The following is a 22,177-nucleotide window of genomic DNA, read 5'->3' on the forward strand; positions in this document are numbered from 1 at the left end:
AAGGAGATCAGTGTGGGAGAATTTTGAGGTTTGGTCTATGGAGAGGTGGGTATCTGGAGCTTCTTGTCAACCCCAAGGGATGTGGGGGGTGTGGTCTTAGACTTGGATCACTGGTTCAAACAAGGCTTCATTTTGCTCCTTCGCTGTGCTCAGAAGTCACATTAATCTGTAATGACAGAAAAACAGGCCAGAGGGCCAAGATGGCCAACTAGAAGCAGCTAGTGTGCACGGCTGTCATGGAGTGGAATGGAAGGGGAGAGTAAATATAGCACTTTCAATGGAAGCATCCAGGTTCTCGCATTGAGATTAATCAAGGAAATAACTTGACCCATGGAGAATGGAGAAAAGCAAGGCAGGACGACGGCACACCCAGGTGCAACACAAAGCCAACGGAAGCTCCCCACCGAAAGAAGTGGTGAGTGAATGTGTGGTCCTGGGAACCCATGCTTCTTCCATGGATTTTTGCAACCCACAGGTCAGGAGATCCCGTCATGAGCCCACTCCATCAGGGCCTTCAGTCTCACACACAGAGCTATGTGGAGTGCCGGCAGGAGAGCGGACATGCATGGAGAACCAGGAACTTTAGAAACTCTGGCTATCCGGGCATCCTAGCAAAAGTAGCTGCAACTCCAGCAAAGCAGGATGTTAGACCCCTGTACCTACCCCAGGAAAGAGACTGAATCCAGTGGGCCAAGCAGCCATGGTCTGTGGGCCCCACTTCCACAACACCTCACAGGATAAGACCTACTGGCCTGGAATTACAGCTAGCCACCAGTAGCAGTGCTGCACCTACTTGGGACAGAGCTCCAAGGGGGAGGGGCGGGCCGCCATGTTTACTGTTTGGGTGACTTAGCCCTTCCAGCCTTTGGGATTTGGAAAGTCCAAACCAACTCGGGGCAGAAGGGATCCCCCAGCACAGCACAGCTGCTCTACCAAAACATGGCCAGACTGCTTCTCTAAGTGGGTCCTGATCCTATTCTTCCTTACTGGGAGGGACCTCCCAACCGGGGCCTCCAGCCACCCCTGTTGGTGATCTCTGGCTGACAGAGATTTGAAAATTCCCTGGGACAGATGTCCCAGAGAAAGGGCAGGCCACCATCTTTGCTTCTGCAGTGGAGCCGTCCTTGCTAACTTCGGGCTAACAAAGAAGCAGAGACCCTAAGTGCCTTCTCCACACCTCCAACAAACTACAGCCAACCCAAGGAGAAGATGCCAGTTTGTCTCTGAGGGGTCCGACACACCCTCCATTGCTTGTCACCACACAGGAAACCCCTGGATTGGGCTTACAGCACAAAAACTCTATCCTGGGCTAACTGTACTGAGCTATTGCTGACTCACATTTCTCTGGTGTGGAGCCCCCAGGAGACAAGCAAAGTGGTGAATTGGCAAGATAGCTGATGTGGAGCCTAGAGGTTTTGTTGCAGGAGTATCTGTAGTAGAGCATGGCCAGGCATGGCCACCCCTTTAAGCTCAACATGCCCCATAAGAGACTTTAGCACTATGGGAACTATCAGACCTGATCACTGCAGGGCAGTCTTGCACATCAGACGGGGCTGGTCAGACCTGAGCACTCCTTGGTCTGCTGTCCTCTCCCAGGGCCCCAGCCTGGCCACACCTGCTTACAGGGCAGTCTTGCGTGCTCTGGGGCCCACACCATAGCTTCTGTGCTGGTGGATCATGACTGACTTGTGGAGAGCTCCAGTGAGGCGGATCCTATGGCCGTGCACCAGCCTGCATGTTAACTCCCCATAATATAGCTTCCCTCAAGCCCACAGCAACTCCCCACATCACTCTGCGGGCACCTGTCTACATGGGTGGGTTTTGCTTTACTTGCCCTGCCAGCATGTGGGAGTGCAATAGGCCCCCAACCCCTGCCGATTACTGTTGGAGATGGAGCCTTGGTGGCCACAGAGCCAGCAAGTCTTGCCTCACCAGCGAACAGTGAACAGGGGATCTGCCCATACCGTGAGTGATCACTCCTGCTTGTGGGGCACAGAGAAGGCACCCAGATCTGAGCCAGCCAGAACTCTGCCCCAAGCCAACATTACCTCCGAAGTAACAGCCTACACAGTCTCCAGCAGTGGCCCCCTGCTCCCTGCTCCCCACAGCTGCTTTGCCTCTGCTGCAGTGGTGAATGCCCACAGGGAGGCAGGCACCTCTGCATCCACTAGCACTTGGCTGTAGCTGCTGCACCTTGATCCCCCCAGTACAGTAGACTCCAAACATCAAGGAGCCAGAGAACAAAGTTGGGGCCCAATACAAGTCCCCCAGAGATACAGCATGCAGTCCAGGGGTTGGGAGCTGAACATTGGCCCCCTAGTATCTTCCAGAAACGAAGCCAGATGGATGAATCCACCTTATACCACAATCAAACCCCCAAGGTCATCAAATAGGATAAAAGAAAAAAAACATCCAAAGGTCAGCAACCTCAAAAGTTGAAGGTAGGTAAGCCCACAAAGATGAGAAAGAATCAGTGCAAGAATGCTGAAAACTCAAAAAACCAGAGTACCTTCTTTCTTCCAAATGACTGCATCACCTGTCCAGCAAGGGTTTGGAACCAGGCTGAGGCTAAGATGGCTGAAATGACAGATGTATAGGAAAGAAGTTCACTGAGCTACAGGGGTACATTGTAACCCAATGCAAGGAAGTTAGAAATCATGATAAAATATCATAGGAGCTGACAGACAAAATAGCCAGTATAGAGAAGAATGTAACTGACCTGATAGAGCTGCAAAACACACTACAAGAATTTCATAATGCAATCACAAGTATTAATTGCAGAATAGACCAAGCAGAAGAAAGAATCTCAGAGCTTGAGGACTGCCTTTCTGAAGTAAGACGAGCAGATAAGAATATAGAAAAAAAGAATGAAAACGAATGAACAAAAACCTCCAAGAAATATGGGATTATGTAAAGAGACTGAATCTACGACTGCTTGGTGTACCTGAAAGAGATGGGAAGAATGGAATCAAATTGGAAAACATATTTCAGGATGTACTCCATGAGAAATTCCCCAACCTAACTACAGAGGCCAACATTCAAATTCAGCAAGTGCAGACCACCCCAGTAAGATACTCCACGAGAAGTTCATCCCTAACACACATAATCTTCAGCTTCTCTATAGTCAAAATGAAAGAAAAAATGTTAAAGGCAGCTGGAGAGAAAGGCCAGGTCACCTGCAAAGTGAAGCCCATCAGACTAACAGCAAAGGTCTCAGCAGAAACCCTAGAAGCCAGAAGAGATTAGGGGCCAATATTCAACATTCTTAAAGAAAAGAAATTCCAACACAGAATTTCACATCCAGCCAAACTAAGCTTCATAAGCAAAGGAAAAATAAGATCCCTTTCAGACAAGCAAATGCTGAGGGAATTTGTTACCACCAGATCTGCCTTACAAGAGCTCCTGAAGGAAGCCCTAAATATGGAAATGAAAGACTGTTACTAGCCACTACAACAGCACATTAAAGTACACAGACCAGTGACACTATAAAGCAATCACATAACCAAGCCTACAAAATAACCAGCTAACATCATGATGACAGGATCAAATCCACACAAATCAATACTAACCTTAAATGTAAATGGGCTAAGTGCCCCAATTAAAAGACACAGAGTGGCAAGCCAGATAAAGAACCAAGACCCATTGGTATGCTATCTTCAAGACACCCATCACACATGCAATGACAGACATAGACTCAACATAAGGGGATGGAGAAAAATCTACCAAGCAAATGGAAGACAGAAAAAAGCAGGTGATGCAATCCTAGTTTCTGACAAAACAGACTTTAAACCAACAGAGATAATAAAAGACAAAGAAGGACATTACTTAATGGTAAAGGGTTCAATTCAACAAGAAGATCTAACTATCCTAAACGTATATGCACCCAACACAGGAGCACCCAGATTCACAAAGCAAGCTCTTAGAGGCCTTCAAAGACACGTAGACTTCCACACAATAATAGTAGGAGACTTACTGACAGTATTAGACAGATCATCGAAGCAGAAAATTAACAAAGATATTTAGGACCTGAACTCTGCATTGGATCAAATGGACCTGATAGACATCTACAGAACTCTCTACTGCAAACAAAAGAATATACATTCTTCTCATCATCACATGGCACATACTCTAAAATTGATCACACAATTGGAAGTAAAACACTCCTCAGCAAATGCAGAACAACTGAAATAATAAACAGTCTCTTGGACCACAGTGCAATCAACTTAGAAATCAAGACTAAGAAATTCACTCAAAACGATACAATTACATGGAAATGGTAATTGTATTACAGTTCCATGAAAGACTCTCCTGAAAGATTTTAGGTTAAATAATGAAATTGAGGCAGAAATCAAGAAGTTCTTTGAAACTAATTAAAACAAAGATATAACATACCAGAATTTCTGAGACACAGCTAAAGTAGCGTTAAGGGAGAAATTTATAGCACTAAATGCCCACATCAAAAAATTAGAAAGATCTTGAGTTAACAACCTAACATCACAACCAAAAGAACTAGAGAATCAAGAGCAAACAAATCCCAAAGCTAGAAGAAGACAAGAAATAACCAAAATCAGAGCTGAACTGAAGGAGATAGAGACACGAAAAACCATTCAAAAGATCACTGAATCCAGGAGCTGATTTTTTGAAAAAAATTAATAAAATCAATAGACCACCAGCCAGACTAATGAAGAAGAAAAGAGAGAAGATTCAAATAAATACAACCAGAAACGGCAAGGGGGATATTACCACTGACCCCCCACGGAAATACAAAAAACTATCAGAGAATATTATGAACAACTGTATGCACATAAACTAGAAACCCTAGAAGAAATGGATACATTCCTGACACATACACACTCCTAGGACTGAACCAGGAAGAAATTGAATTCCTGAACGGACCAATAGTGAGCTCTGAAATGCAGGCAGTAATAGCCTAGCAACCGAAAAAAGCCCAGGACCAGGGGATTCACAGCTGAATTCTATCAGATGTACAAAGAAGAGTTGGTACCATTCTTACTGAAACTATTCCAAAAATTGAGGAGGAGGTACTCTGCCCTAACTCATTCTATGAGGCCAGCATCATCCTGACACCAAAATCTGGCAGAGATACAACAACAACAACAACAACAACAAAATCTTCAGGCCAATATCCTTGATGAACATCGATGCAAAAATCCTCAACAAAATACTGGCAAACTGAGTCCAACAGCACATCAAAAGGCTTATGCAAGACAATAAAGTAGGCTTTATACCTGGGATGCAAGGTTGGTTCAACATATGCAGATCAATAAATTTGATTAATCACATAAACAGAACTCAAGACAAAACCACATGATTATCTCAATAGATGCAGAAAAGGCTTTCAATAAAATTCGACATCCATTCATGTTAAAAATTCTCAATAAACTAGGTGTTGAAGGAACATACCTCAAAATAATAAGACCCATATATGACAAACCCACAGCCAGGATCATACTGAATGGGCAAAAGCTGGAAGCACTCCCCTTGAAAACAGGCAACAAGACAAGGATGACCTCTCTCACTACTCCTATTCAGTATAGTATTGTAAGTTCTAGCCAGGGCAATCAGGCAAGAGAAAGAAATAAAGGGCATCCAAATAGGAAGAGAGGAAGTCAACCTATTCCTATTTGCAGATAACATGCTCCCATATCTAGAAAAGGCCATCGTCTCAGCCCAAAAGCTTCTTAAGCTGATAAGCAACTTTTGCAAAGTCTCGGGATACAAAATCAATGTGCAAAAATCACTAGCATTCCTATACACCAACAACAGTCAAGCCAAGAGCCAAATCAGGAATGAACTCCCATTCACAATTGCACACAAAGAATAAAGTATCTAGGAATACAGCTAACTAGGGAAGTGAAAGAAAAAAAAAAGAACTACAAATAAAAAAGGAGAACTGCTCAAATAAATCAGAGATAACACAACCGTTCCACGCTCATGGCTAGGAAGCATCAATATCATTAAAATGATCATACTGCCCAAAGCAAATTATATTAATAGATTCAATGCTATGCCTATTAAACTAACACTGACATTCCTCACAGAACTAGAAAAAATATTTTAGAATTCACATGGAACCAAAAAATAGCCAAGGCAATCCTAAGCAGAATGAACAAAGTTGGAGGCAAACCATGCTACAGGGCTACAGTAACCAAAACCTCATGGTACTGATACAAAAACAGGGACATAGACCAATAGAGCAGACTAGAGAAGCCAGAAATAAGAACATATATCTACAATTATATGATCTTTGACAAACGTGACAAAAACAAGCAATGGAGGAAAGGATCCCTGTTCAACAAATTATGCTGGCATAACTGGCTAGCCATATGCAGAAGGTTAAATCTTGACTCTTTCCTTACATCATATAGAAAAATTAACTCAAGATAGATTGAAGACTTAAATGTAAAACCCAAAACTATAAAACCTTGGAAGACAACCTAGGCAATACCATTCAGGTACGAGCAAATATTTCATGAAAAAGATGCCAAAAGCAATTGCAACAAAAGCTTCTGCACAACAAAAGAAACTTGGTAGAGTAGACAGACAACCTACGGAATAGGAGAAAAGTTTTGCAAACCATGCATCTGAGAAAAGTCTAGTATCCAGCATCTATAAGGAACTTAAATAAATGTATAAAAGAAAAACAAACCCCATTAAAAAGTGGACAAAGGATGTTAACAGACACTTTTCAATAGAAGACATACATGTAGCCAATAATCATATAAAAAAAGCTCAACATCACTGATCATTAGAGAAATGCAAATCAAAATGATAAGGAGATACCATCTCACGTCAGACAGAATGGCTATTATTAAAATGTCAAAAAATAACAGATGCTGTCAAGGGTGTGGAGAAAAAGTATGCTTGTACACTGTTGGTGGAAGTATAAATTAGTTCAGCCATTGTGGAAGACAGTGTGGCGATTCCTCAAAGCCCTAAAGACAGAAATACCATTTGACTCAGCAATCCCATTACTGGGTATATACCCGAAGGAATAGAAATTGTTCAATTATAAAGACACATGCACAGGTATGTTCATTGCAACACTATTCACAATAGTAAAGACATGGAATCAACCTAAATGCCCATCAATTATAGACTGGATAAAAGAAAATATGGTATATATATGCAGCATGGAATAATATGCAGCCATAAAAAAGAAAAAGGTCATGTCCTTTGCAGGGACATGGATGGAGCTGGAGGCCATTATCCTTAGCAAACTAATGCAGGGACAGAAAACCAAATACTGCATGTTCTCACTTGTAAGTGGGGGCTAAATGATGAGAACACATGGATACAGAGAGGAACAACACACATTGGGACCTCTCAGGGGGTGGAGGGTGGGTGGATGGAGAGGATCAGGAAAAATATCTAATGGGTGTTAGGCTCAATATCTGGGTGATGAAATAATCTGTAGAAAATACCCATGACACAGTTTACCTATGTAACAAACCTGCACATGTACCCCCGAACTTAAAAAAAAATACGCTGGAAGCTACACATCACATTCAGGATAGGACTACCCCTAGGGAAGTGGGAAGGTGAATGGAAGTGGAGGGAAGGTCAAGGAAACCTCAATTATTTTTTCGGTAAAGTTTTCATTCCTTAAAAGAAAGACAAAGTAAATATACCTAATGTTAACAACATTGAAATCTGAGTAGTGGAAACACTGGTGTTTATTATATTTAATGCCAGGGACATTGTAGGTACTCAATTAATATTATTTGTTGAATGAGTATGCTTTTCTGTTTTGAAAGTTTCTCCAACAAACATACACAATTCTCAAATTAACAGAAAGTGCTACAAGAGCAAAGAAAAGGGAATGAAGTGAGGTGGGGAAGGCTTGAGAAATCCTTGTGGAAAGAATGATTTCTGATCTATATAGATCTATACCACCATACATGGGGTGCAAGTAAAAGACATAGTTCTACCTCCATCTTACCTTAAAGCGCTAAGGTTCTGGGTGAGTATCCAGAAAATGATCTTGAACGTTTAGTCCTTTTAAGTAACTACCGGATCCTCAATTTTCTCTTCCAACAGACACTGGGTGGTGCTAGTGTCCAAAAATTCCTCCCTATCACGGATTTATTACTTCAATCCACATACATCTCCACAACCAATGTGTCTTGTGGGCCAAAGTGCTAGGGATTGGGGATATAAAGGTGAATAGCAATAGCCTCAGTTGTTCTGTGATTATAAACTGACTGCTATCGTGTTCTGTGGCCGAGAAAGCTGCAAATGTGACTTTTACATTTCACAGGAGAGCACTACTGTCACAGAAATGTCCAGTTGTAGGGGTGAATGGCCCTGAACTACCCACCCTCACCATGAGCACTCGTACTCCACGACGTGGCCAAGGATTAGAGCAGACAACACCGAGCCCCACTTCCAACCTACTGTTAGGTTGTCCTTAGGCCCCAATGGCTATAAAAAGCCTAGAGAGCCTATATACCGGTCATTCAGCTTGGACCTCTGTGTTACAGATGTTCTAAGCTCACTGGGCAAAATGTGTCTGCTTATTGCAGAGGCTTCTGTTATTGTGAAAGAGTGAGTGTACTTTGTTTTTTTTTTTTAAAGGTACTCAAATGTCAACTTTATTGTTTCTATATAAACACCTTTTTGTACTGAAAACTGTAAAAATAACAAAGTTTGCTGTGATTGCAGTTCAAATTTTTGAAAGCCAGAAAATCTAATTATGCTATAGCCAAACTACCTAATGCTTTCTTTATCCACAAGTAACTTTGCTTCAATTTCTTGATGTTGGGTTTCATCTCACTGACTTTGGGCTTCTAAGACACATGGGAATACTTATATCGTCTTGGATTCTTTGGGTCAAATCAAACAGTAGAGCTAAAGTTATTCAAATACATTCAGATTACACAGATCCCTTATGAATTACTAGTATCATAGTAGGAAGAAAAAGATACAAGAAGAAAAATACATCCTAGAACTCATTATCAAAATTATTGGTGTATAGTCTGTTCTAGCATAGATTAGCTTTCTCAACCTGCTATATAAAATTACCAGCAAGAAAAAAAGGTGCAAGAATAAGATTTATGGCTGAAGTGGCTTGGTGTCTTGATTCTCTATTCTAGCATTCTCAGAAGGATCCCATCCGTTAGACACGCAGAAACTGCAGGGACATTTGAATGGTCTTGATTCCTTCTTAACTCCCTTAGGCTCCTCGTTTGTTGGTCTTCTTTCATGCATACGAACTCTGCCGAGTAACATGTATCTCGATCTTGCCATCTTTTCTCTCTGCACAGACAGCAATGTTCTTACTCCTCTCCTGCTGTAAAGCCACTCATCTTCGATTTCCCTGAGGACTTCTGCTCCTACAGACTCTCGACGGAGTAAAGCTTCCGATAGAGGGGAAACAGATTCGCTACTAGTGTTGATAGTCAAGTTACTAAGGTTCTTTATCAACGTCTCGGAGCAGATTTGAGAGGCCCCTGAATCGTCCCGGGAATTTTCTTCGGTGAGCATTTGTGGAGACTCTGGGATGTAGGTTGGATTAAACTTCTGTGATGGGTCCATCGGCGTCTTGACACAACACTAAGCTTCTCCTGGATCTTTGAAACGTAGCAGAAACTGATGACGGAGCCTCAAATTGCTACAAGGTAGCCCGGAAAGAGCAAGAGTGAGTGTACTTCGGATGAAGGGAATGTGGACCCTCAGGACTAAAGCAGTGGGAGAGGCCTGGGAGGTGGGGCCTGGGGAGGGCGAGGTCTGCTCTGAAGTCACCAAGCTCCTGATCTTAGAAGAGATGGTGGGCGCAGGCTCTGGAGGCTCAAGCGGAGGAGGGGAAGGAGGCGAGTCCGGAAACCCTCGGCCAATCAGAGAGGGCTGGGGCGGCGCCTGCTAGAAGGCTTAGCACTGCAGGGCTCTGGGCGGGAAGGCTAACCTGGTGCGGAGCCAGCCTGGGTCTCAGCCCCGCGTACGGCCTTTCACGAGTCTTCAAGCCTTCAGGTGAGTACCTGCGGCCTCGCAGGAGCCAGAGGACCATGGGGACGGGAAGGCGTGGGGGTCGCGAGGCGGGGGATGCCGCGCCTTCGGGAGCCAGAGGGGCTGGGGTTGGGGCTGGTGCTTGGTGTCTGCGCCGCCGCCAGGCCCGGCGAGTCCGAGCCTTTGTCTTTCTGGGGCGCCGCCTTCTGCGAGCGATGCCGAGCCCTCCCGGGGGCCGGTCCCTGGAAAGAAGGCCCCGGGGAGTCGGGGTGGGAGGCGGTGGTTGGAGGGGTAGGGGACCCTTAAAGCGGCCAGTCCGCGGTAGCTGCAGGTCAGAGGCTTCGAGGATGAAGAGTTTGGGGGCCGCCCGGAATGGGCCTTGTGGGGCTGGGCCCTGGTTCCTTTCCCTCCCGTGGCCGTTAGACTGGGCGTCTAACAACGCTAATAGTTATTTGAAAAAGTATGCAAACTGCTCCTGACAGACTGGCCTATGCGCCCGGCCCTGCTATTATTTATTGGTTAGTTCCAATTTCCCAGCTCCGAGCTTGGCGTCTGATCGCTTGGCAGAGGAGGGTCTTAGGGTAACCTCGACAGAATGGAGGCATGTTCGACACTTCTGACTGCTTGGGGGCCTCTGCATTCTACGCCAGGGACTAGACGAAGTGTCTTACTCCACCAGGGTGGGGCCGGGCTTGCTCATGAAAGCTCTACCTGGTATATCCTATTGTCTCTTCTGAACAAACTCGAGACTTTCACAGGGCACCAGGCATTTCGTCAGGTCCACAGCTACGCACGTCTGAGCCTCATCTCCTCCCTCTCTGCAGTGAAAACGTGAAAGAAGACCCACTTCTATTTGGTTTATTCCGTTCTGCTGAAGTCCTGGGTCTGATCCTAGTTAGCTGTCCCTTCTTACAGCGTTTACAAACCAGTGCCACAAGGAGCTATTATGAGACGTGTATTGTAGTGCCTTAATGTACTGTCGTCTTTGGGGATTTAAAATAGATAGAAATTAATACAACTTATCTCATTCTTTTTTTGTGTGCTGCTCCCCATCTCCCAAGAAAAATGGCAAAACCAAAAGTAAATAGAAAGTGAAGATGCTCAAATGGTGCTATGTTCTGTTTCAAAATAATTACCTGGTTAAAACCAGTCTTTATTTTTTCTTCTATCCCTGTCTGGTCTTGTGCTTCTATCACCTCCATTTTATCCTTGCTGTGATTTTAAGAGTCAGACAAATGGCTCTGTGTTTCTAGAGCATCTTGGTTTCTGGTGCGTTATGATCCAATGACATTTACTGCCTATCAGAAACGGCAAATGATGTGGAGTTGAAATTATTCTAACAAAAATATAACTTTTCTAATATCTGTTGCTGTTTTTCTGTTGAAAATGAGCAGGTAGAATATACATTGATAGGAAATGTGAAAATTTTTGCTTGTGATCCCTTAGTCCGAAGATAGTTCTGCCAGGTAAGTTTTCTTAAAAATGTTTTTTTCTGTCCTGGCGCGGTGGCTCACGCCTGCAATCCCAGCACTTTGGGAGGCCGAGGCGGGCAGATCACTTGAGGCCAGGAGTTCCAGACCAGCCTGGCCAACATGGTAAGACCCCCGTCTCTACTGAAAATACAAAAATTAGCCGGGCATAGTGGCGTGTGCCTGTAATCCCAGTTTCTTGAGATGCTGAGGCAGAGGAATTGCTTGAACCCAGGAGGCGGAGGTTGCAGTGAGCCGGGATTGCGCCACTGCACTCCAGCCTGGGCGACAGAGCAAGACGCTGTTTCAAAAAAAGAAAAAAGTTTTTTCTTTTCAGGCTTTCTTCTAGTCAAGATGAGTGATAAACCAGACTTGTCGGAAGTGGAGAAGTTTGACAGGTCAAAACTGAAGAAAACTAATACTGAAGAAAAAAATACTCTTCCCTCAAAGGAAAGTAAGTCATGTGGGGTTCTACTGGAAACAAACAATAGAGGAAGTTAATAGGTTCAGTAAATAAACCTATCTTCTAGTAATTTTTTTTACACAAAGTAAGCAATAATTAGAGTACCATGGTATTTAATGCAACAGTTAAAACTATCAAATAGTTTTCTTCTGGTTCTCACATGATGGGCCCAGTAGTGATGGGGGAATAAAAAACTAGTTTTTTGTTGGAAAATTATTAAAAACCACATTAAAACCAATCTTGGAATATTGGATGTAGCACTAAAAAACACTTAGTTTTTGTCTACTTTTGGGTATTTGGCATTTTTCTACATTTAAAAATTTGAGTCCATAATATTATCCCTAACGAACCCTGTAGACTCTGCAGTTTTGACCTTCTATATCTGATGAAAAGATAAAGTGAGAACAAATTTAGATCTTAGTATGCTTAAAGCTCTCAGATTCAAGGGATTGATTGGTTCTGCCCTCTGGAGTTATAGCCTGCTGGAGAAACTCTAAGCATATTCACAAAAGCCAAGGGGCACCTTTTGTTATGTCAGTTTTATTTGAGAGTTGCAATATTAGTTAAAATTATCTGAAAGTGTATAATTTTCTAACTGTATAGTGATAGACAAATCTGAAGAAAGTACTTCACTTACTCCTCAGTCTTGAATAATCTGAAAAAATGACAACAGCATTTGGAAAAACAAACCCTACAGTTGATGTAGTTTCTAATTGGTAGTTCAGGTACTTAATGTGTGCACACATGCAGGCACACACCCCACTCTGAGTTTTGTGTTTAATGCCTTGGCATTCTAAATTTAAAGCATGTATGGCAGCCTTCAATGACTTACAAAGAGCTCTTTTGGAAGAAGCTGAACTTAGTCTTAGGAAAATACTTTTGTAATTTTTGGTTTCTTTTTCCCCAGCTATCCAGCAGGAGAAAGAGTGTGTTCAAACATCATAAAATGGGGATCTCCTCCAAAGAGCAGATTTCAGCATTGCCTGACAGTCTTGGTTTTAGGCTTGTTTTTTTGTAAACCTGTGTGTTTGTAGAGATTTCAGACATCTTCTGATTTCTTCTCACCTATATTCCCTGGTTAAGAGGTCAGGGGTAGTGAATGTTTCCTTAAGTTCCTTTTTAAACTTCCCATTGGTATGTAAATTCCAAATGGCAGATGCTGTCAATAACCTTGCCATGGATGACCTTTGTGTAGGTAGTCCTTGCACCTCATGCAGGATAAGCCAATTTTAACTTTCTACAATGGGTGCCTCAATAGTTTCATAATCTTCATGAAGTTGCATCCTTTGGCAGCTTCTTACAGTTTATTTTCACTTCCAATGTAGCAATAAAATAATAAATATAATCGTTGTTGTCTGACTCTGTGGTTCATTCTGGTGGTATTCTAAGGAATGAAAAGTACACAAAGGTACCTTTTACACTCAAACAAAATGGTTGAAGGAAAACTTTTAGCAGATTAGTCCTGGGGGAAAATACTAAATTCTGTCCAAGTCCAGTGGTTCCTGACTTGGGGATGGTAGGTGCTTTTTCTTTATAGTTGGAATCACAGAGTTAGAGAACCTTGGGAGAGAAGGTCATGTGGACTAACCTCCTTATCTCAGAATGAGGAAATGAAAACACAGGGTCTGAAGTAATCTGCTCAATTTGAATAAGGGTTGGAATTCAAGCTGGGTTCTCTTGCCTTCTGAAAGTCTTTTTCAGCTTAGTGGGAGTTAACATCCAAGACTGAAGTTGGATGGAGAAAGGGGCAGGAGGCACTTGCTACCAAACACCATATTAAGCACATCACATCTTCTAATGACCTGTAGCACTGAACTTCTGGTACGGTTTTTCTACTGAACAGAATTTGCTGTTTTATGAACTAAACATTTCTGGTGTTCATGGTGAGCATAAATGTTATGGTCTGAATTTTGTCACCTGTGACCTCCTGATTAATATGCTGAAGCCCTAATCCCTAGCATGATTGTATCTGGAGATAGGTTGTTTCAGAAGTAATTTACGTTATGAAGTGATAACAGTCAGGGCCTAATCTAATAGGACTGTGGCCTTATAAGGAGAGAGAGACCAGTCTCTAACATGCGAGGACACAGCAAGAAGGTGCCTGTCTACAAGCCAGGAAGAGAGCCCCCACCAGAATCTGACCCTGCTGGACGTCGACTTGAGATTTCTTGAATCTAGAACTGTGAGCAAGTAAATTTATGTTGTTTAAGTCATTCAGTCTACAGTATTTTGTTACAGCAGCCTGAGCTAATACAGTAAGGAATATGTATAATTGCATGCATTTTAATTCCTGCCTTTAAACAATACTTTTATCTCTTTTTAAAAATTATTATTTTATTTTTATGAGACAGGGTCTTGCTCTGTTGCCCACGCTGGAGTGCAGTGGTACAATCATGGCTCACTGCAGCCTTGACCTCCTGTGCTCAAGCAATCCTCCCACCTCAGCCTCCCTAGCACCTGGGACTACAGGCACGTGCCACCACAGCCAGCTAATATTTTTGATTATTAGTAGAGATCAGGTCTCGCTATGTTGTCCAGGCTGGTCTTGAACTCTTGGGCTCAAGCAATCTGTCTGCCTCAGCCTCCCAAAGTGCTGGGATTACAGGCATGAGCTACCATGCTAAGCCTACTTTAATCATGTGTATAAAAACAAATAACCTATAATCCCACCAATTAGAAGTATTAGCCATCCAGACTTGTGATCTATTAATGTACATATCTTCCTACAAAGACGGATTATACCATTCATACCTATTTTCAACCTCAAGTATTAACTTACCTCCTCCTTTCTCTTTCTTTCTTTCTTTCTTTCTTTCTTTCTTTCTTTCTTTCTTTCTTTCTCTTTCTTTCTTTCTTTTCTTTCTTTTCTTTCTTGAGATGGAGTCTCATTCTGTTGCCCAGGCTGGAGTGCAGTGCTGCAATCTCGGCTTACCATAACCTCTGCTTCCCGGGTTCAAGCTATTCTCTTGCCTCAGCCTCCCGAGTAGCTGGGACTACAGGTGTGTGCCACCATGCCTGGCTAATTTTTGTATTTTTAGTAGAGATGGAGTTTCACTATGCTGGCCGGGCTGGTCTCGAACTCCTGAGCTCGTGATCTGCCCTCCTCAGCCTCCCGAAGTGCTGGGATTATAGGCGTGAGCCACCATGCCCTGCCTTACCTCACCCTTTCTAAGGGCTCACATTCTTAAATAATCAGTGGGATTACATGAAGTGAAAGCTGTTTTCTCTGCTGCAGCTTAAAGTTTCAAAAGCAAAACAGTAGGTAGGTCAACTTCAATCAAGTGCCAATGAGGTGACACAGTCACGGGGCTTAGTGTGTAGCCAGAGGATTTGAGCCTTGGAAGTAACCATGTTAGTCACCAGTACCTTATCTCCTGCCTGAGGCAATTGTCCAGTAAAGTCACTCAGCTCCTTGCAGTGATATGCTTCTTACATTGTGCCCAAACGTGCCTCCCTGTAGCTTCTATTCAATAGTCCTGGGATTATGTGCTGGAGGCCTAGAGACAGTAGTTAATCCATCCTCCAGAATTTGAAGTCAGCTGTTGTGTCCTGTCCCTCTACCTCCAAGTCTTCTGCAACTGACACTTCTCAGATCCTTCAGACCCAAGTTACACAGATGGGAAACCATCCTGGTTGCAGATATGCTCAGATTTGCTCATTACCGGGTCTGTGAATCCTGGTTCAATCATCCAACACAGTTGCTCCCCTTTCTGTGTTGTCATTTGCAAATTTGATAAAGATGCTATTCATCTATGATAGATTCAGCAACCTCTTCATTTGTACATTAATGCAGCTCAAAGGAAAGCATGAATGTTGTCAGGTGACCTAGGATTGAACAATAACTCCTAGTTAGTTGCATCTGGTAGCCATCCTTTTCATTAAAGTCTTGATTTGTACCCTGGGTAGTGTAAGTGTTAAACTGAGTGGGAGCAGATTAGAAGTGCATGGCGGGAGGTGAAAGACATGTAATTACTAAGTGAATACTCATACAGGAATGAGATGGGAAAAACTGCAGTTGCTCATCTGCAGTAGTTTTGCCCCACGTTTCTCAAGTATTTAATGTTGGGCTACTCTTTTAGTCACTAGCTTTACTTGTTTTTTGAATCAGGGGTATATATTTTTTTTTTCCAAATAAGCAAGGATTGAGATTTATGTCCCTGAATCCATCTATTATCTGCAAAACTGGCAGTACCAGGGCTTTGTTATAGCAGTTGTATTTATAGGGAAAGGAAAAGGCTGGAGTTAAATGATTGTCTTCTTTTATGCATTAACATCCCTTGAAAATCACTGGTCAGTGGCTTTACACTTTTATTCTGTCAGTGTACATAGGCAGAGATGACTTTAATTACTAAGAACAGAAAATGAAATATCAGAAAGAAAAAATATACTGAAAGTTAAAAGAGAAAAATCAGCCAAATAAAATTTCATGCCTAATTCATCTCTGCAAAGAATAAAAAAAGTCTCATTTAGTATTACGACTTACAATTCCCATGAAACTCTGCAGGCCAGTGAGTTTTATAAACACTCCTAGAATTTAACCAATGCATGTTCATACCTAATGAGAATGCCTTGCCTTTGGAGTCTTTTTAAATTTTTTTTTTAAATTTACATTAAGTTCTGGGATACATGTGCTGAACATGCAGGTGTGTTATACAGGTATTCATGTGCTATGGTGGTTTGCTGCACATATCAACCCATCATCTAGGTTTTAAGCTCTGCATGCATTCAGTATTTATTGTAATGCTCTCCCTCCCCTTTGCCCCTAACCCCTGACAGGCCCAGGTGGGTGATGTTCCCCTCCCTGTGTCCACGTGTTCTCATTGTTCAGTTCCCACTTATGAATGAGAACATGTGGCATTCGGTTTTTTGTTCCTGTGTTAGTTTGCTGAAGATAATGGTTTTCAGCTTCATCCATGTCCCTGCAAAGGACATGAACTCATTCTTTTTATATGGCTGCATAGTATTCCATGGTGTATATGTGGCACATTATCTTTATCCAGTCTATCATTGATGGGCATTTGCATTGGATCCAAGTCTTTGCTATTGTAAATAATGCTGCAATAAACATACGTATGCATGTGTCTTTACAGTAGAATGATTTATAATCCTTTAGGTATATATCCAGTAATGGGATTGCTGGGTCAAATGGTATTTCTGGTTCTATATCGTTGAGGAATGGCCACACTGTCTTCCACAATGGTCGAATTAATTTACACTCCAACCAACAGTGTAAATGTGTTCCTATTTCTCTGCATCCTCTCCAGCATCTGTTGTTTCCAGACTTTTAGTGATCACCATTCTAACAGGCGTGAGATGGTATCACATTGTGGTTTTGATTTGCATTTCTCTAATGAGCAGTCATGATGAGCTTTTATTTTCATATGTTTGTTGGCCACATAAATGTCTTCTTTTGAGAAGTGTCTGTTCATATCCTTTGCCCACTTTTTGATTTTGTATTTTTTTCTTGTAAATTTGTTTAAGTTTCTTGTAGATTCTGGATATTAGCCCTTTGTCAGATGGAAAGATTGCAAAAATTTTCTCCCATTCTGTAGGTTGCCTGTTCACTCTGATGATATTTTCTTTTCTGGGCAGAAGCTTAAATGTGTAGAAATATGTTTGATTCTTGCCTTGGTAATCTTCTACCTGTTTGATCTTGGGCAAGTGACAATCTTTTGTGGTTCAGTTTCTTCATCCACAAAACGGAGGAAATAACACTACTTCACAGAGATCTTGTGAAAGGCAATTAAAGTGTTCCCTGTAAAGCACTTAGAACAATGCCTGGAATAGTCGCCACTCAGTCCGTGGTGACTCTTTTTATTACTATAGCAATGCCTAGTTTAATTGACACCAACCAAAATGAGTGTCGGTTATATGGGTGGTAATGAAAGGGAGTGCAATTAACTGGCAAGGTCAGAAGTAGGGTAAGTTAATTCAATCTTCTGGTTAATAGGTGCCATGTGGAATCTACCTATGTTCTAGGGATTGTTATTTTCAGTAATAATAATTGCAATTAAGTCCTCAACTTTACCATTGAACTGAATATGTTGTTGTCCCCAGTCATATCAAATGGTGAAGAAACATCTCTAAAGAGCCAGGAAAAACTACTGACATAACTGTGTGGTCACTAATTAAAGGCAAAGATATTGATTAATGGAATAATGAAAATGTCTGATATATAACTGGATACTTTATGTGTGGAAACAACACTGAGATCTCTGCAGCAAAGTTTTGGTGCAGAAAGCTTGTATTAGGGATTTCCAGAGTTATAAAACCAATAGGATATCTATCTATCTATCTATCTATCTATCTATCTATCTATCTATCTATCATCTATCTATCTATCTAGATAGATAGACAGATAGATTTATTTTAAGAAATTGATTCATGTGATTATGGAGGCTGGCAAGTCCAAAATCTGCAGGATGGGCTGGCAGCCTGGAGTCCCAGGTAAAAGCTGAGATTACAGTTTAAGTCTAAAGACCATGAGGCTGAAGACCCACGGGAGAGCCGATATTGCAGTTCAAGTGTGAAGGCTGTTTGCTGCAGAATTTACTCTTGCTTGGGGGAAGTCAGTCTTTTTGTTCTATTCAGGCCATTATGGAGGGCAGTCTGTTGTACTCAGGTCCATTGATTTAAATGTTAATCCCAAACACACCTTCACAGAAACATTCAGAATAAAATTTGACCACATATCTAGATACTGTAACCCAACCAAGTCGGGTTACCTAAATCTCTATCCTTGTTTATTTGGGAAAAAAATCTCCCCCTGGTTGGAAAGACAAGACAAGGCATAAAATTGGCCATCACAGGGCTAAATGTGGGTTATCAAGTAATGACTGTATAATCCTAACCTGAAAACATTTCTCACTCCCTGATTCCCACCCTTTCTCTCACCAATTTGCAGCAGAATAAACATATGCTCCTCAACTTACAATGGAGTTCAGTCCGGTTAAACCTATCGTAAAGTCAAATAATTTTAAGTCGAACCATCCTAAGTTGGAGTCCGTCTGTATTGGACACAATTATGCAACGTGGAATGGCTACGCATGTGGTTTAGACATGTATTGAAACACAGAATTGAGCACGGGAATGGTTAAATTTCCTAACTGCTGCTTGAAAAAACTCCCGTGGTTTCAGGAGAAAATCAGGTTCCTTGTATACCTTTGCATGAAACCTAACTTGATGCTTTTGCTTTTATACCTCTGAACTGATCACATTGCCCTCAAGGAAAAATCAAGCTATGAAAAGACTTGCTCTAAAGGTGAGGCTCACCTCATCCTGTCTACCTAAGGTATCCATGCCTTGAAGGTGCCATCACTACAATATGAGATAGGATGGCAGAGGACAACGTTCAAGTGCTTGGGTTCTGGACTCAGACTGACGTGGATTTGAATCCCTGCTCTTCCATTTATCAGCTGTGTGATCATTGGACACATTACTTAGTTACTCTGTGTTTTGTCTGCAAAAAATTGAGGCTAAAATATGTACACCACAAAGGGCTATTAGGAGGAGTAAAGCTGATAAGCAAACCATGGAGGAAACACAATCTGACATTCACATGGGTTTAACACTGGGACTCAGACAGCTTTGTAGAGAAAGAATTTTTTTTAAAGTGCAGTACAGGAAAGGGGTCTGTGTCCAAGAGGTCCAGAAGGGTCGTGTGGACTAGCCACAGAATTCAGCAATGGTCTCATACGTTGTCAGGGGCCAGTCTCTTATCTAATGTAGGTTCATTCATTTATCTGTTCATTTAACAAAGATCTGAGAGCTACTACACTCACAACTTCCTGCATGATCTAGTTACCCTGGGAAGTACAGAGTCGTAAATTTGGACATATTTCAGAGTGAAAGGGATGCTATTAAGAATTACTAAGGGACAACAGGCGAAATCAGGACATATGGTCACTATGCTAGGGAAAATGTCTGGGATAAGGAAAAAAAGTAAATAGTCACCCTTTAAAGCTTTTTCTGTGCCCCCACTCATGTCCACACTCATTCCCCCCTATTCCAGAGTGTCAGTCTATGATGAAATAAGAAGAGTATTATATTCCGTCAAGAATTAGGACCAATCACATTTTGGAGAAGGCATTGTACTGAAGTAAATGTTTTTATTGTCTCATATTACCATAGTGGGTTAATTTTGTCAGACACATGTGGTTGAAAGTGAAAAAGCCCCACAACAATCAAATTGAAAAAAAAAAAAAAGGAAGAGTCATCCTACTTTTTCTTTCTTTTTTTTTTTTTTAGAAGGAGTCTCGCTCTGTCGCCAGGCTGGAGTGCAGCGACACGATTTCGGCTCACTGCAAACTTCGCTTCCCGAGTTCAAGCAGTTCTCCTGCCTCAGCCTCCCGAGTAGCTGGGACCTCAGGCACATCACCAAGCCAGGCTAAATTTGGTATTTTTAGTAAAGATGGGGTTTCGCCATGTTGGCCAGGATGGTCTCGATCTCTTGACCTCCTGATCCGCCCACCTCGGCCTCCCAAAGTGCTGGGATTACAGGCGTGAGCCACCACGCCCGGCACCTAGTTTTCTTAATTGGTCACTGTCATTTTCTTAAACTTGTGAACAAATGAGAACCTAAAAGAGCCAATCTTTCAAGATGGATCCCAGTGGCTAACTGAGCTTAAATTTAAAATAGAGCCAAGCTGCCACGTGTTGACTAGAGCTAACACGTGTACTACAAATTCCCCGAAAACCCACACCTCTATCTAACTTTGGAACTTTCAGAGCTCACCTGAAGCAACCAACCAGAGCTCACCTGTCGCTGCCAATAAGGGCTCAGCTGTATTGACCAACCAGAGCTCAACTGAGTCAACCAATCAGAACTAAGTTTGAATTGTTTATTTGCATAAATTGACTGTACTGGGAACCTCGATAGGAACTTTCTCTATAAAAGCCATATCCTCTCTTTGTTCTCTGGAACTGCACTTTTGTTTTACACTGAAGTCTGCACCTCCCTGGTTTGCAAACTGTACACAGGAATAGCCTCTTTCCTCCAAATTCCTTTACAAAGAATTTTTCTTCACAATATGATGCGAGAGGTAGAAGACATGCTTACAGCTGTGGATTCATATCCTGAAATCACCACGATTACAATAAAACGAAAAATCAAACAAAGAAATAAAAAGTAGACAAAAACCTCAAACTAATTTTCTCTTCAATTTACAAGGCTGAACAGCTAGGAGGAGACTTATTGATTCAGGACAGTTCACCTGCTCACATTTTGAGCCAATGGCTGAGGCCCAGGACTGGAGATACTTCATTAGTTTAGCCAGTGGAGAGTGGGGTTTGGATGCTCTCATTGGATACTTCTATCATAAGTGATGCATACTCATAGGGGTTAAGCTTTGCATTAAAAAAGATTGTAGACTGGGAAATAATATAATTAGACAAATGTGAATGACTTAGAGCAGTTATTTCAGTTTCTAGGAAGCTTAAAAAGGGTTCATTGATTTATTTGACTCAGCTATTTCTGCACTGTGGGTTTTTGTTATGTGTTTAAATGAATTCTATAACAGAGGTAATGTTGAAAAAAGATTGTATGAGGTCTGCTTGTTCCATTAGTAATGTTTGTCCCAGTTCGATCCTTCTGAATTTTTATTTATAGCAGTAAACTGTTTCCCTGTGTGTGCGTGTGTGTGTGTGTGTGTGGGTGGGTGTGTGTAATGTAATTTAATTACTAGTATTTCAGGTATGAGTTTTGTAACCACATTTATAAATGAGCTGCTCATATATATACATATACATATATATATATGTATATATATATATATATATATTTAGTATGCTTCCTTCAATGGGTATCAACATCATATTATATTTTCTTGAAATAAGTTTTGTCGGCTGGGCGCAGTAGCTCATGCCTGTAATCCCAGCTCCTTGGGAGGCCGAGGCAGGAGGATCGCTTGAGTCCAGGAGTTCTACACCAGTCTGGGGAAACATGATGAAACCACATCTCTACAAAAAAAAAAATATGAAAACTAGCCGGGCGTGGTGGTGCGCGCTTCTAGTCCCAGCTACTCGGGAAGCTGAGGCAGGGAAATCACTTGAACCCAGGAGGCAGAGGTTGCAGTGAGCTGAGATCGCACCACTGCACTCCAGCCTGGGCGACAGAGCGAGACTCTGTCTCAAAAAAAGAAAAAGTTTTCTCTCTTTAAACCTGGAACCATCTTACTAGCAATAAATGACCTGATCTTAAAAGTCTGACAGGAAACAGCATTGGAATTTGGGATGGTACCTTCTTGGTGATTGCTATTTCTTTAATTCTTCTTAATCGCTA

The 22,177-nt window shown here is 42.0% G+C and overlaps 1 protein-coding gene and 1 pseudogene across 4 annotated transcripts in view; one reads left to right on the plus strand and one right to left on the minus strand.

The window, feature by feature from the left end:
- TMSB15B (thymosin beta 15B) overlaps nucleotides 1-21,693 on the plus strand; it is a 55,272-nt gene extending 33,579 nt beyond the window's left edge. Inside the window, exons 1-4 of one of the 4 annotated variants that reach the window (NM_001350212.2) lie at nucleotides 9,894-9,990; nucleotides 11,495-11,561; nucleotides 11,773-11,889; nucleotides 12,806-13,243. In NM_001350212.2, the coding sequence (NP_001337141.1) occupies nucleotides 11,790-11,889; nucleotides 12,806-12,843 (138 nt within the window). In that variant the 5' untranslated portion in view covers nucleotides 9,894-9,990; nucleotides 11,495-11,561; nucleotides 11,773-11,789 and the 3' untranslated portion in view covers nucleotides 12,844-13,243. Of the gene's footprint in view, nucleotides 1-9,287; nucleotides 9,991-11,494; nucleotides 11,562-11,772; nucleotides 11,890-12,805; nucleotides 13,244-20,145 lie in introns of those variants that run through there. The other 3 variants (NM_001350213.2, NM_001350211.2, NM_194324.4) reach the window with 3 other exon arrangements.
- On the minus strand, nucleotides 8,595-9,656 carry DPPA3P1 (DPPA3 pseudogene 1; annotated as a pseudogene).
- Nucleotides 21,694-22,177: the final 484 nt, after the last annotated feature.

The sequence above is a fragment of the Homo sapiens genome, chromosome X, assembly GCF_000001405.40.
Source record: "Homo sapiens chromosome X, GRCh38.p14 Primary Assembly".
In the NCBI taxonomy this organism is placed as follows: domain Eukaryota; kingdom Metazoa; phylum Chordata; class Mammalia; order Primates; family Hominidae; genus Homo; species Homo sapiens.